This window comes from Homo sapiens, chromosome 7, assembly GCF_000001405.40.
Source record: "Homo sapiens chromosome 7, GRCh38.p14 Primary Assembly".
Classification (NCBI taxonomy): Eukaryota; Metazoa; Chordata; class Mammalia; order Primates; family Hominidae; genus Homo; species Homo sapiens.
Genome location: NC_000007.14, coordinates 105,165,944 through 105,179,498, shown reverse-complemented (window position 1 = coordinate 105,179,498; position 13,555 = coordinate 105,165,944). Strand labels below are relative to the sequence as shown.

General features: G+C 37.1%; 1 protein-coding gene across 34 annotated transcripts in view; it reads left to right on the top strand.

Annotated features, from left to right (window-relative positions):
* Positions 1 to 13,555, top strand: part of SRPK2 (SRSF protein kinase 2) — a 284,618-nt gene that overhangs the window by 219,859 nt on the left and 51,204 nt on the right. For all 34 annotated transcript variants that reach the window (XR_007060151.1, XR_007060150.1, XR_007060147.1 and 31 more), the window contains 3 exons: positions 10,234 to 10,342; positions 11,404 to 11,491; positions 12,035 to 12,122. Coding sequence is in view for 24 of the 34 variants with exons in the window: in XM_011516536.4 (XP_011514838.1) it covers positions 10,234 to 10,342; positions 11,404 to 11,491; positions 12,035 to 12,122 (285 nt within the window). In the remaining 10 variants the exon portion in view is untranslated. The remainder of the gene's footprint in view (positions 1 to 10,233; positions 10,343 to 11,403; positions 11,492 to 12,034; positions 12,123 to 13,555) is intronic.

The following is a 13,555-nucleotide window of genomic DNA, read 5'->3' as shown; positions in this document are numbered from 1 at the left end:
CTGAATTGCTATTTGGGCTACTGTAGTGAATCGGATTATGCTTTGGGCCAGTTAGTTTTACAGTTTTAAATAGCCATAGACAATACTCTTAACTCTGACCTGCTCATTTGTTAATCTGTCATTAGTCACAGTGGGTTAGAGTACTGGCAGAACAGTAAACACTAACGTGGCACATAATATATACCCAGGTATAGTTTTGAGTGAGGTAGCTGGGGCAAGTGCTGACACAGGTTAAGTAACTGGCTTAATGTTATAGTAGTAAATGCCAATGCTGATATTCAAATCGACATCCCTGAATTCAAGCATAAATATCTGTTAAGTAATTGGTAGTAGGCAGGGGTTTAGAATTATGTGTTGGCCTTGACATGAACATTTTAGGTATTCAGGGTTGCTCAATCAACGGACTGACCTTTAATCTGTGTGATTTCACTGCAAAAATGGTTTCTGAATCCATTTATATTTTTATATTTTATAAAAAGAAAACACTATTTTCCTTATTAGTAATTTAAAGCACAATTTACATTCACCACAGCATAATTTTTGATAGTATTATTATTATTAGTGTTTCTTCTGTGGTGAATGTAATTTAAATTGTGGTTTAAATTACTAATGAGGAAAATAGTGTTTTCATTTATATTTATCTTACCCTTAAGTAATTTTTGTTGTTACTTGTTTTTTTTGTTTTGTTTTGAGAGAGGGCCTTACTTTGTCTCCCAGGTTGGAGTGCAGTGGTGTCATCACTACTCATTGCAGCTTCGACCTCCTGGACCCAAGTGATCCTTCGGAGTAGCTGGGATCATACGCATGCGCCACCATGCCCAGCAAAATTTTTTAAATTTTGGAATGATGGGGGACTCTCACTCTTTTGCCCAGGCTAGTCTCGAACTCCTGGCTTCAAGTGATCCTCCTGCCTCATGTGTGATTATCAGCGGCGTGAGCCACCATGCCCAGCCTGTTGTTACTTTTTTAGGTTGTAGATAAGTAGGAATCCTCCCGTGTCTTTTGGAATATTAGCCTTTGCTCTGGTTTTTCCTCTAGAGCAGTCTCCCATTCATTACTGTTATAGGAAATATTTGACTGTAATAACAGAGATTGACTTGTATTCAAGAGTTCTTAAATAACAATGGCTTCTCTGATTGACTGCTTTTGAATTTCTTCCAGTTTCAAGGGAGTTTAATGGTTGTGCCAGAGGCTTCATTATTGTTTATATTTTTGGTTGCTACTAAGTGCTTTTAAAAACGTCCTTAGTCTTGATGCTTTTTTTATATTTAGTATTATTATTATTAGTGTTTTTGCTGTGGTGAATGTAATTTAAATTGTGCTTTAAATTACTGATGAGGAAAGTAGTGTTTTCTTAGATTGAAACATTTTTATTGATATCACCTACAGGCATTTTCTTCACAGCTCAGGGAATGTGACTGTCAAATCTTAGGAAGAATGTGTTGTGAATTTTTTTTTTTTTTTTTTTTTGAGACGGAGTCTCGCTCAGTCGCCCAGGCTGGAGTGCAGTGGTGCGATCTCAGCTCACTGCAAGCTCCACCTTCCGGGTTCACGCCGTTCTCCTGCCTCAGCCTCCCGAGTAGCTGGGACTACAGGCGCCCGCCACTATGCCCACCTGGCTAATTTTTTTTTGTATTTTTAGTAGAGATGAGGTTTCACCGTGTTAGCCAGGGTGGTCTCGATCTCCTGATCTTGTGATCCGCCCGTCTCGGCCTCCCAAAGTGCTAGGATTACAGGCGTGAGCCACCGTGCCTAGCCTGTTTTTTCTGTTTTTGTTTTTGTTTTTTTAAGAGCAGTTTTAGGTTCACTGCAAAATTGAAAGCACAGTGATAACCTATGAACTCCCTGCCCTGACGCATGCATAGCCGCCCCCAGGATGAGCATCCTCCTTCAGAGTAGTACATTTGTTAGAATTGGTAAACCTCCATTGACACATCATTTGTACTGTTTTTAAAAACTTACATTTTAACTCTTTTATGTTGAAAATCTTGGTTTTTAAATGACATTTACCTATTTGTTTTATCTTGTAAATGAGATATTTCAATAATATTCATAAGAACATCATTGACAACAAATATGCTAAGGTTTTAAGATTTTCTTGCAGTCCTTTGTGTCCTTACATTGTATCACACATCTTAATAATCTAAAGATATCCTTTCATTGAAGTAAAAAGATTGGTTGCATATGTTCTAAATAATTTTTTTTTCAGTGAAGAAAAGTGGTGGTTAGTGCATACATAATAGCAAGTCATGCCGTCTATTCTCAGTGCTTTTAAAAAAAGCAAGTCATCAAAAGGTTTCATTGATATCTCTGCATATCATGTTTTTATTTTCACTTTACCAGCTCTTTTTTATGTGTTTTTTTTTCCTGATTTAATCACTTTCCTGACAATTACCAGGTACTTTTTGGAAGTGGTTAATATTAGCGGAATTGCAGCATGTATAACCAAGAAGGTATTAACATGTATACGGAATATCTACAGTGATAAGAAAATGACAGTCCATTAGAAAAGTGATCAAAATCATTGAACAGATTCTTACTTCACTCAAGAAAATATATGACTAGGCAGGGCATGATGGCTTGCGCCTGTAATCCCAGCACTTTGGGAGGCCGGGGCAGGCGGATCACCTGAGGTCAAGAGTTCAAGAACAGCCTGGCCAACATGGTGAAACCCTGTCTCTACTAAAAATACAAAAATTAGCCAGGCGTGGTATATATATATATACACACACACACACACACACACACATATACACACATACATACATACATACACACACACACACACATACACATACATATATATGTACACACACACATGCATACATCTATATATATGTATGTAAAACCATATGCCACTGTGCATATATATATATACACACACGTATACACACACACACACACACACATATATACATACACACACACACACACACACACATATATGCAAAACCACATACATCTCTGTGGCTTGTCTGTGAATAAAGATAAATTTTATTTCTTTTTTTTCCAGCAGTGATGCCTTTTTATTTATTTTGCATGACTGTACTAGTTAGAGCTTCCAAAACAGCAGACTAGAAATGGGGAGAGCAGACATCCTTATCTTGTTTCTGATATTAGGGGGAAAGCATTTGGTCTTTAATAGTTAAATCTGATGTTATCTGTGGGCTTTTCATTGATGTTCCTCTATTCCTGCTTCATTGAGAATTGTGATCAAGAATGAATGTTTCATATTGTCAGATGATTTTCTGTGTCTGATGTGCTCATCATATAGATTTTCTTTTTTAGCATATTAATTATGATGAATTACATCAGTTGGATTTTGAATACTGACCCAAGTTTGTGTTCCTGGAATAAACCCCATTTGATCATGATGTTTTATCCTTTTGATATATTATTTGATTTGATTTGTTGAACGTTTGTCTGGAACGTTTGTATCCACATTATGAGGAAAATTGGTCTGCAGTTTTCTTATAATGTCTTTGCCTGGCTTTGGAATAAAAAATGCTGGCTTCATAGGATCAAAACTGGAAGTATTTCCTCTTTTTTTACTTTTTAGGAGGAATTTGTAGTATTTTTTTCATAATATCAAGATAAAATATACCAATGCATTTTTTATGGGAAGATTTTGAACAATAAATTCATTTTTTAAAATAGATACATGGTTTTTCAGATTTTTTTTTCTGTTTGGACCTTGAGTGGTTTGTGACTTTTCAGGTATTTGTCCATTTTATCTAAGTTTTCACATGTATAGGTATAACATGATAATATTCCCTTCTATCTTTTTAATACCTCAAAAATACATAGTGACATTACCTCACTCATTGCTCATGATGGTAATTTGTGTTTTCTCTCACTGCCCAATCTGCCTGGCCCGAAATTTGTTAATTGCTTTTATTTTCTTAAAGAACCAGCTTTTGTTTTCACTGATTTTCTCGACTGTTCTTATGCTTTTTTGTTTTACTTATTTATAGTTCATATTATTATTATATTTTCATTCTTCCGTTTGCTTTGGGTTAAGTTTGCTATTTTTTTAGTTTTCTAAGGTGGAAACTAAGATTACTTTTTTGAGATCTTTTCTGGTATAGGCATTTAGTGCTATAAATTTCCCTCTGAGTTTGCTTTAACAGCATTTCATAGATTCTGATATATTAAGTTTTCATTTTCACTTAATGTAAGAAATACTTGCTATTTTCTTTTTGATTTCTTCTTTATCCCATGGGTTATTTTTGAATTGTGTTACTTAGTTTCCAAATTTCTGAGTATTTTCTCTTCTTGGTTTGTAATTTAATTCTGTTATGGTCTGAGGACATACTTTGTGTGATTTGAATCCTCTTCTTTCTTTCTTTTTTTTTTTTTGAAACGGAGTTTAACTCTGTGGCCCAGGCTGCAGTGCAGTGGTGTGATCTCGACTCCGCAACCTCTGCCTCCTGGGTTCAAGAGATTCTGCCTCATCATCCCAAATAGCTGGGACTACAGGCGTGCACCACCACGCCCAGCTAATTTTTGTATTTTTAGTAAGAGAGGCGTTTTTGTCACATTAGCCAGGCTGGTCTTGAATTCCTGACTTCAGGTGATCCACCTGCCTCGGCCTCCCAAATTGTTGTGATTACAGGCATGAGCCACCATGCCCAGCCGAATCCTCTTATTTCTATTGAGACTTGTTTTATGGTCTAGTACATTATATATCTTGGTAAATGTTTTGTGTGCCCTTGAAAAGAGTATTTGTTGTTGAGTGTAGTGATCTATAAATGGTAATTAGGTCAAGCTGGTTGATAGTGTGTTCAAATCTTCCATATCCTTACTGATTTTATGTCTGCTTGCTTTTATCAGTTTTGGGGGAAGGAAATATTAAAATCTTCAGTGACACAGAATGTGTCTTTATGTTATGTTACTGTGAACAAATTTCTTTTTTCCACCCCTTCCTTTTTTTAATCATTGTGTGTGTTGGGGGTGATTCTCAGCTTTCCCTAGTCCTTTGAAAGTTTTCAGTGGTTATGTAGAGAAACCCCACAATCAGAGGGCTGAGAAAGCATTCTCAGCGGAACTCAGGTAATACTTAATATTATCTTTATTAAGAAAATAAAGAGACTTTGTTGAAAATACTTCCAGAACATTGTCATGGAGTTCTGAACTTCTGGTTAACTCCATAAATAGAATCTATTTTTGCTAGGCAAGGAAAAGGGAACCTTTATCTTTGGCCAGTAAGTCTCCCAAATAGGTAAAAAGGAGAGTTTTAAAATTTTCTTCTTTGGAGTCTTCTTATTAGCATAGGTAGAGTTTTAGTTACAGAAATCTTGGCTGTGCTAGAGGCATGGAAGTAGAAGAAACCAGAGCAATGAATTTAATGGTTACTTAACAGTTTGTTCTTGTTCTCTTTGTGTTTGTAATCCGATAAGAGTTTTTTTTTTTTTTTATTAGAGACAGGGTCTCACTGTACTGCCCAGGCTGGTGTCGAACTCTTGGGCTCAAACAATCCACCTGCCTCAGCCTTCCAAAGTGCTAGGATTACAGGTGTGAGCCACTGCACCCGGCTAAGATTTGTTTTTTTAAGCAGCCAAAAAAAAAAAAAAAAACACCAACACACAACTATTTGATAAATGCATGGTTTTTATATTAAATAGTACAAATAGTGAAGTGTACAGGTGTTATCAACCAAACTCTTAAGTCATGGTGATCTTCAAGTGCCTGAGGCTTTCTGGCACCCTGCCTAATGCTATTAGCAGGGTCCATAGCAGTGTTATTGTCCCATACTCCTTTTCTGTTCTCTGGTGAAGCAGCAAACTGAATAAAGTTTGAGTCTTTGTCTAGTGACTGTACTTGTTTTCTTGTGTGCTGGGCAATGTGGTAGACCATGGGGTTCCATTGCTAATAGCCATTATGGTGCACATAGTTAACTAAGCCCAGGGAATTGGGGTCATTTCTGGTGGAGTTACTGGAGTGTTCATTTTTTCAGATTCCCTGGGTATTAGGTTAGTGTGGTCTGGTGCACGGGGACAGAGACCACTCTTCTGGCAGCATGGGTGTTAGAGGAGATGCCCTGTGAGCAAGGCTGCCATTCTGTGAGAAGGGAATGAAAAATGAATGGTCAGAAGATACTTGATTGTGTAGGAAACCAGGAGTTACAATATGAGAATATACATAGACTTGAAATTGTGTATATCACGTTTTCAAAATAGAAGTAAGTTAAGTGCGTTATACTTTCAGTTGTTTTAAAAATACTATTACTAGCCAGGCATGGTGGCATGTACTTCTTGGAGGCTGAGTTGAGAAGATTGCTTGAACCCAGGAGTTCAAGGATGTAGTAAGCCCTGTTCGTGCTGCTCTACTGCACTCCAGCCTGGGTGACAGAGCTAGCCCGCATCTCTTTAAAAAAAAAATGCCCCTCTTGTGTAATTTGCCTTTTTATAGAGATAATATTTTTAGCTAGACTGAGGGCTTCAGGGATACTTTACTCCAGTAGTAATTTTGTTGTTGTTAGCTTTCAAAGCCCTTGAGAAAAGGAGCTGCTATGCTTACACTGTGATTACATTGGAAATAGTGCTCTTCTGTTTTTGCTCACATGTATACACTTCGGCTAATTGAGAATTTGAATCTGAAACATATACTAGTGATACAGGTTTCTTTTTATGCATAAATTATTTTTAAATTTAGTGACAAATATTAGCAATAATGTACGTTTAAGTAGTATATAGATTTTAATTAAGACATCCCATGTTTTCTGTGTACTAAGACCAGGAAGCAGTCCTCTAGTTATTAAAATTGGAGTGTATTTCTTACTAGTTGATAAAACATGGGTTTTGGAGTCATACCTAGTTTCCAGCCGTGAACCTAGTACTTCATAATCTATGATACTTGGTGTTCTCTGTAGCATTGTAGAAATAATACCATCTACTTTGTATGGTGGTTTCAAGAATTATGGTAGATCAGTCTTTCCTAAATACTTGTGTTATAAAATGTAACTAGGTCTCTGAAGAAATAATTCCATGAACACGTATGTCAGGAATATGCAGCATTTTCTGTTCTCTTAAAGGTTCTCACTCTGTATTAAAACATTAGGCCTATGGTCAAGAAATCTGCTTTTCTTTGTTCAACACTGCGTTTCTCAAACAGAACTTCTCCCTTCTTCCTTCCTACTCCCCTGCTCCTCTATTGAACACCTGCAGTATATTATAGTTTATTTTTGTTTCATGGAACATAGTTTTGAAAATAAAGTGCCTCGCACAGTGTTCCTAATTATACTGGATAAACTGTTTCATTTCCTGCTTTGAATGTTAATTTTAATGGTTTGAAAACTGTATTGTAGGCTGGGCGCAGTGGCTCATGCCTGTAATCCCAGCATTTTGGGAGGCCAAGGTGGGTGGATCACCTGAGGTCAAGAGTTAGAGACCAGCCTGACCAACATGGCAAAACCCTGTCTCTACTAAAAACGCAAAAATTAGCCAGGTGTGGTGGTGCAAGCCTGTAATCCCAGCTACATGGGAGGCTGAGGCAGGAGAATGGCTTGAACCCAGGAGGTGGAGGTTGCAGTGAGCCGAGATGGCCAGTGCACTCTAGCCTGGGTAACAGCGAAACTCGGTCTCAAAAAATATAAATAAATAAATAAATAAATAACTGTATTATAAACTCAGAGCTCATTTCTTTTAATTAATTTTAGTTTAATCTTCTAAGTAGTAAGCCATTTAATAATTTGCTACATTTTATTCCTAATTCACTATCATTTAGTTCATATATTTAGCCCAAAATGTTGTCATACACCTTGAGATTCAAATCCAGGACAAGCAAGTGCAGAGGCAGTAGAAGGGTAAGAATCTCACGAACTCAGTATCTGGTCAGATTCCTGCTTCACTAATCCAACACAATTTAAATGTTCAGAAATATATTCTTGAAGTATTATTGAGAGCCCTCTGGGAATATATTGAAGGATCTGGTTAGATACTTCCTATAACTGCTCTAGAGCTCTTAAGACTAGGCACAAGCCATCCACATCTTTATTGAGTAATTTGTAAGAATTCTGCAGATTAAAAAAGAAATAACATCTTTACAATAAAAAAGCAAATGTTAAAAGAATGAAAAATCTGTTTCCAAAGTAAAAAAGTAGTAAAATATTGTTTTAGAAAAATTGAAGAAATTGAAAAAGCATAGATAAAAAGAATAAAATGTAGATAAAGAGACTTAAGAGTAATTTTATACCCAGGAATGTCCATTCCTAACATCTTATCCTCCGTATTTCACAAAAAGTGTACCATATTATCCATGCTAGTTTGTAGCTTGCTTATTCTGCTTAAAAATGCGAAGTGAAGAACTTCTCATGCCAGATATCAGTGAGGCACCCTACTTGCCCTCAAGAATCTACCTTAATAGGGTGCCCTCTATAGCTGATTTCTTCCTCTCCCTTCCCGTCCCCTCCCCTCCCCTCCCCTTTCTTTCTTTTCTTTTTTCTTTTCCTTGCCTGCCTTTCCTTCCTTCCTTCCTTCCTTCCTCTCTTTCTTTCTTTCTTTCTCTTTCTTTCTTTCTTTCTCTTTCTTTCTCTTTCTTTCTTTCTTTCTTTCTTTCTTTCTTTCCTTTTTCTTTTTCTTTCTCCTTTCTTTCTTTCTTTCTTTCTTTCTTTCTTTCTTTCTTTCTTTCTTTCTTTCTTTCTTTCTTTCTTTCTTTCTTTCTTCCTTTCTTTCTCTTTCTCTCCCTCTCTCTCTCCCTCCCTCCCTCCCTCCCTCCCGTCCTTCCTTCCTTCCTTCCTTCCTTCCTTCCTTCCTCCCTTTCTTCCCTTTCTTTCCTTTTCTTTCTTTCTTGTCTTTCTTGTCTTTCTTGGTGGAGTCTCACTCTGTAACCCAGGCTGGAGTGCAGTGGCTTGATCTTGGCTCACTGTAACCTCTGCTTCCTGGGTTCAAGCAATTCTTCTTCATCAGCCTCCCGAGTAGCTGGGATTACAGGAGTTCGCCAGCACACCTGACTAATTTTTTGTATTTTTAGTAGAGATGGGGTTTCACCGTGTTGGCCAGGCTGGTCTTGAACTCCAGACCTCAGGTGATCTGCCCGCCTTGGCCTCCCAAAGTGCTGGGATTACAGGTGTGAGCCACCGTGCCCGGCCTCATTTCTTCATTTGTGAGGAATGTTTCCAGGCAGGAGTTAGGAGTTGGCAGAAGAGTGATGAGAGGAACAAGCCCTGTTAGAGGGTAAATTAAGACATCATTGTACAGTTTCTAGTTATTAATAAACCATTAATGTATGCAGAATTATACAGAGTAAACATTGTTTATTTTGGTCAGTTTTCTTGCACATATCCAAAAAGATTTGAATTTAACTTGTTTAGGAGAAAAAAAGTCTTTAAATACCAAGAGCTGGTATGTGCATAACGTACACACCTAGATTGAAATACAGAACCTTGGCCAGGTGTGGTGGCTCATGCCTATAATCCCAGCACTTTGGGAGGGGAGATGTGCGGATTGTTTGAGCCTAGGAGTTCAAGACCAACCTGGGTAATGTGGTGAAACCCTGTCCCTACAAAAAATACAAAAATTAGCTGGGCATGGTGGTGTGTGCCTGTAGTTCCAGCTACCTGGGAGGCTGAGGTGGGAGGACCTCTTCAGCCTGGGAATCAGAGGTTGCATTGAGCTGAGATCATGCCATTGCACTCCAGTCTAGACAACAGAGTGAGACCCTGTCTTAAAAATAAATAAGTAAATAGAGAACCTCAAGTTATCATTACGGTGTGCTAGATGGTTCATTGCCTCTTTAAATTAAATTAAAACAAGAAGTCTAATAGGAATTCATAGAACACTTTTTGGTCAGGCTGTCTGGATTGCAGTCGCACACTTTTCACTCAGGCTCATTGCAGCCTCCACCTCCCAGTTTCAAGTGATTCTCTCCCCTCAGCCTCCTAAGTAGCTGGGATTACAGGTGCTCGCCACCATGCCCTGCTGATTTTTGTATTTTTCGTAGAGACTGGATTTCACCATGTTGGCCAGGCTGGTCTCGTACTCCTGATCTGAAATGATCCACCTGCCTTGGCCTCCCAAAGTGCTGAGATTACAGGTGTAAGCCACCACATCCAGCCAACACTTTTTCTTGTTGAAAGATATTCCTGAAAAAAATGTTGTATTATTAAACATGTTTTAGTCTGCATGTATTATGTAGAGCTTTCTTTAATGACATCAAGAATGACAAAAGAGATGAAATGTTTATTACTACTTTTCGAATATTTTGAATTTTTTTCTTTCTTTCTTGTTTTTTAAGGTGGATATCATCCAGTGAAAATTGGAGACCTCTTCAATGGCCGGTATCATGTTATTAGAAAGCTTGGATGGGGGCACTTCTCTACTGTCTGGCTGTGCTGGGATATGCAGTAAGTGTTCTTTGTCATTTGTGCATTTGTTTCCTGGAGTAGTTCAACATCTGTGTTCTAAGAAGGTATGGCTGAGGGTCACCACTGCTTTGTTGAGGTATGTGAAGTGCTTAGCACAGGCCTGCCTCAGCTGGCTAGATTCCTTCCTGCCCCCTGCCTTAGTTTGAAGTTCATTTGAAATCTTAAAATATTACTTGCTTCCAGCTTTATTTCAAAGTTAATTCATTGAAATTGTTTTACACTGGGATTATATTATTTTTCTAGTAATTCATCCATATCAGACAAACATAATGTATAGTATAGGCGTTTCAAATCAGTCATTTTTAACTTTTCAAAGCCATGACCCATAGTAAGAAACTTCATTGCTACTCCATACACACACACACACACACACACACACACACACACACATTTGGTGCGTGTGTGTGTGTGTGTGTACTGAAACAAAAGTGTTAAAAGAGAATGGTTTTCACTATTAGGTTGGTGTGTAATATTCGTGATAACTCTGATGTTTATCTAGTCTTATTTTAATTAGGGAAAAAACAAAACAAAACATAAAAGAGATTGTCTTGACCCATACTACTATTTAATGTGGCCCCACCATTTGAAAAGTACTATTTTAAAGGAAAGCTTATGTTTCTGTGTATTGGATAGATCTCATTACAAGTTGAATATCCCTTATCTGAAATGCTTTGAGACCAGAAGTGTTTTGGATTTTGGAATATTTGTGTATATACACAATGACCTATCTTGGAGATGTGACCCAGATCTAAACACAAAATTCATTATATTTCATATACACCATATACACATACCCTGAAGGCAATTTTATACGATATTTTAAATAATCTTGTGCAACATGCAAATCTTTTACTGAGTTTTGATTGCAGTCAGAGGTGGAATTTTACACTGTGGCATCGTGTTGACACACTCATAATGTTTTAGGTTTTGGCGCATTTTGGATTTTACATTTTCCAATTAGGGATGCTCAACCTGGATACCAGTGATTCTTTCTACTGATAATATAGATAAATAGACTCTTTTTTTGTTTTTTCTTTTAGGGGGAAAAGATTTGTTGCAATGAAAGTTGTAAAAAGTGCCCAGCATTATACGGAGACAGCCTTGGATGAAATAAAATTGCTCAAATGTGTAAGTACTTTAAAAATGTGAATGATATAAGAAAACTTAATGACTTAAAATTTTACAGAAAGATTTTTCTGGGTAATACTAAATTAAAGTCAAGTTTGGCTGGGCACGGTGGCTCATGCCTATAATCTCAGCACTTTGGGAGGCCAAAGCGAGCAGATCACTTGAGGTCAAGAGTTCGAGACCAGCCTGGCAAACACGGTGAAACCCCATCTCTGCTAAAAATATAAAAAATAGCCAGGCATGGTGGTGGGCACCTGTAATCTCAGCTCCTTGGGAGGCTGAGGCATGAGTATCACTTGAACCTGGGAGGCAGAGGTTGCAGTGAGCCGAGATCGTACCACTGCACTCCAGACTGGGCGATAGAGCAAGACTCTGTCTCAAAAAATAAATAAATAAATAAATAAATAAAGTTTATTTTTTATAACTTTGTGATGAATTTTTTATTTTAAAATATACTTTTATTTAAACAGTATTGGTGTTATAATGGGAAAACATGCTTTGTCTCAAACTCCTGTGTTCTTGCATTCATTTTTCTTGGCATAGGTTCGAGAAAGTGATCCCAGTGACCCAAACAAAGACATGGTGGTCCAGCTCATTGACGACTTCAAGATTTCAGGCATGAATGGGATACGTATCCTTTACTTCCTGATTTATTTGTATTTTTACCTTTTAAAAAATGAAAATATTTCAAGCTCCTATAATCTCTGTTTACTGCTGTATCACCTTCAACATAAACACTCTAGGAACATTGTCAAGTATTATGAAGTGGTCCACCTAGAATAGTTTTCATGGCTTTTTGGGGTGTTTGGTAGAGTAGCATCTTAGAAACTTATTTTTAACACAACAACTTGACTTAATTTTGGTGTGGAATTAATTATTGATCTCTTCCCATTAATAGTGGTAAAGTTTTTTTTGTGGTGGTAGATAAAAGCATACATCAGCACCACTTCTTTGTGTTTTAAACTTTCTAAAACCAGTGCATAAGGACAATCTGTGTGTGCCCCAGTGGCTGCAAAGCACCATGTGAAAATGGAGCATTGGTTAAGATAAAAGGAAAAATGCTCTGTAAATGTCCACATCCCAAGGTGGCGCTTGACTGCTCTTAGTTCTGAATAGTACTAATAATTGCCAAATTCTTTTTCCAAAATGATACAACTGAGCCTTTCAAATAATTGTCCTGCAGAGGCTCATCTTTCTGTCAGGTGAGTATGGAAACATTTTGGTTTTCTTGATTTTATTCCTGGTTATCTATATTGCAAAAGTTAAGGAAAAGTAAAATGATGCATTTTCTATACTCTGCATTTTCTATACTCCTTGATAAATCTGACATAAGCCAGTGCTTGATCGAAAATACCTTTATTGTTTTTCTTTACAAACTTATTGGGAGAAATTTCAAACATATAAGAAAGAGATCATACTACAGTAAATTGTTGTAAATTCGTCACTCAAGTTTAATAATTGTCATGGTCTGGCCATAATTGATCCATCTATCTTTTCTTGCTGAATTATTATAGAGCAAATCCTAGAAGTCATGTCCTTTTACTTCTGTGTCATTGTGAATCTTTGAAAAAAATATGAACTTTTAAACATAACCTTAAAACTCACCAAAGACATTAACGGGTTCTTGATATCTCGTCAGATATCGTTGGTATTGGAGACTTCTTAATACAGATTTCCTTGGTATTGCAAAAATGAACTTTTAAAGACATATTTGAATCATTTTTAACAATATTGTTTACTCCTAAGTCTGTATTCACTTACTTTAGTTGTTCAGTTTCAGATTAATTTGCTCAATTTACATTTTTCTGTTTCTTGTTAGACTATGATCCACAGAGTATTTAAATTATCCTGACAGAAGTTAGTGATTCTTAACAGAGGAAAGTGTTTCTTGGTCAGCTATAAGTGTAGGTGTTTCTCATGTTTTTTAAAAGGATGGATGGCCTTAGTCGTAATGTGTCCGTTTCCTTCTGGTGGGTTCTTGGTCTCACTGACTTCAAGAATGAAGCTGCGGACCTTGCAGTGAGTGTTACAGCTCTTAAAGGTGGCGCATCCAGAGTTGTTTGT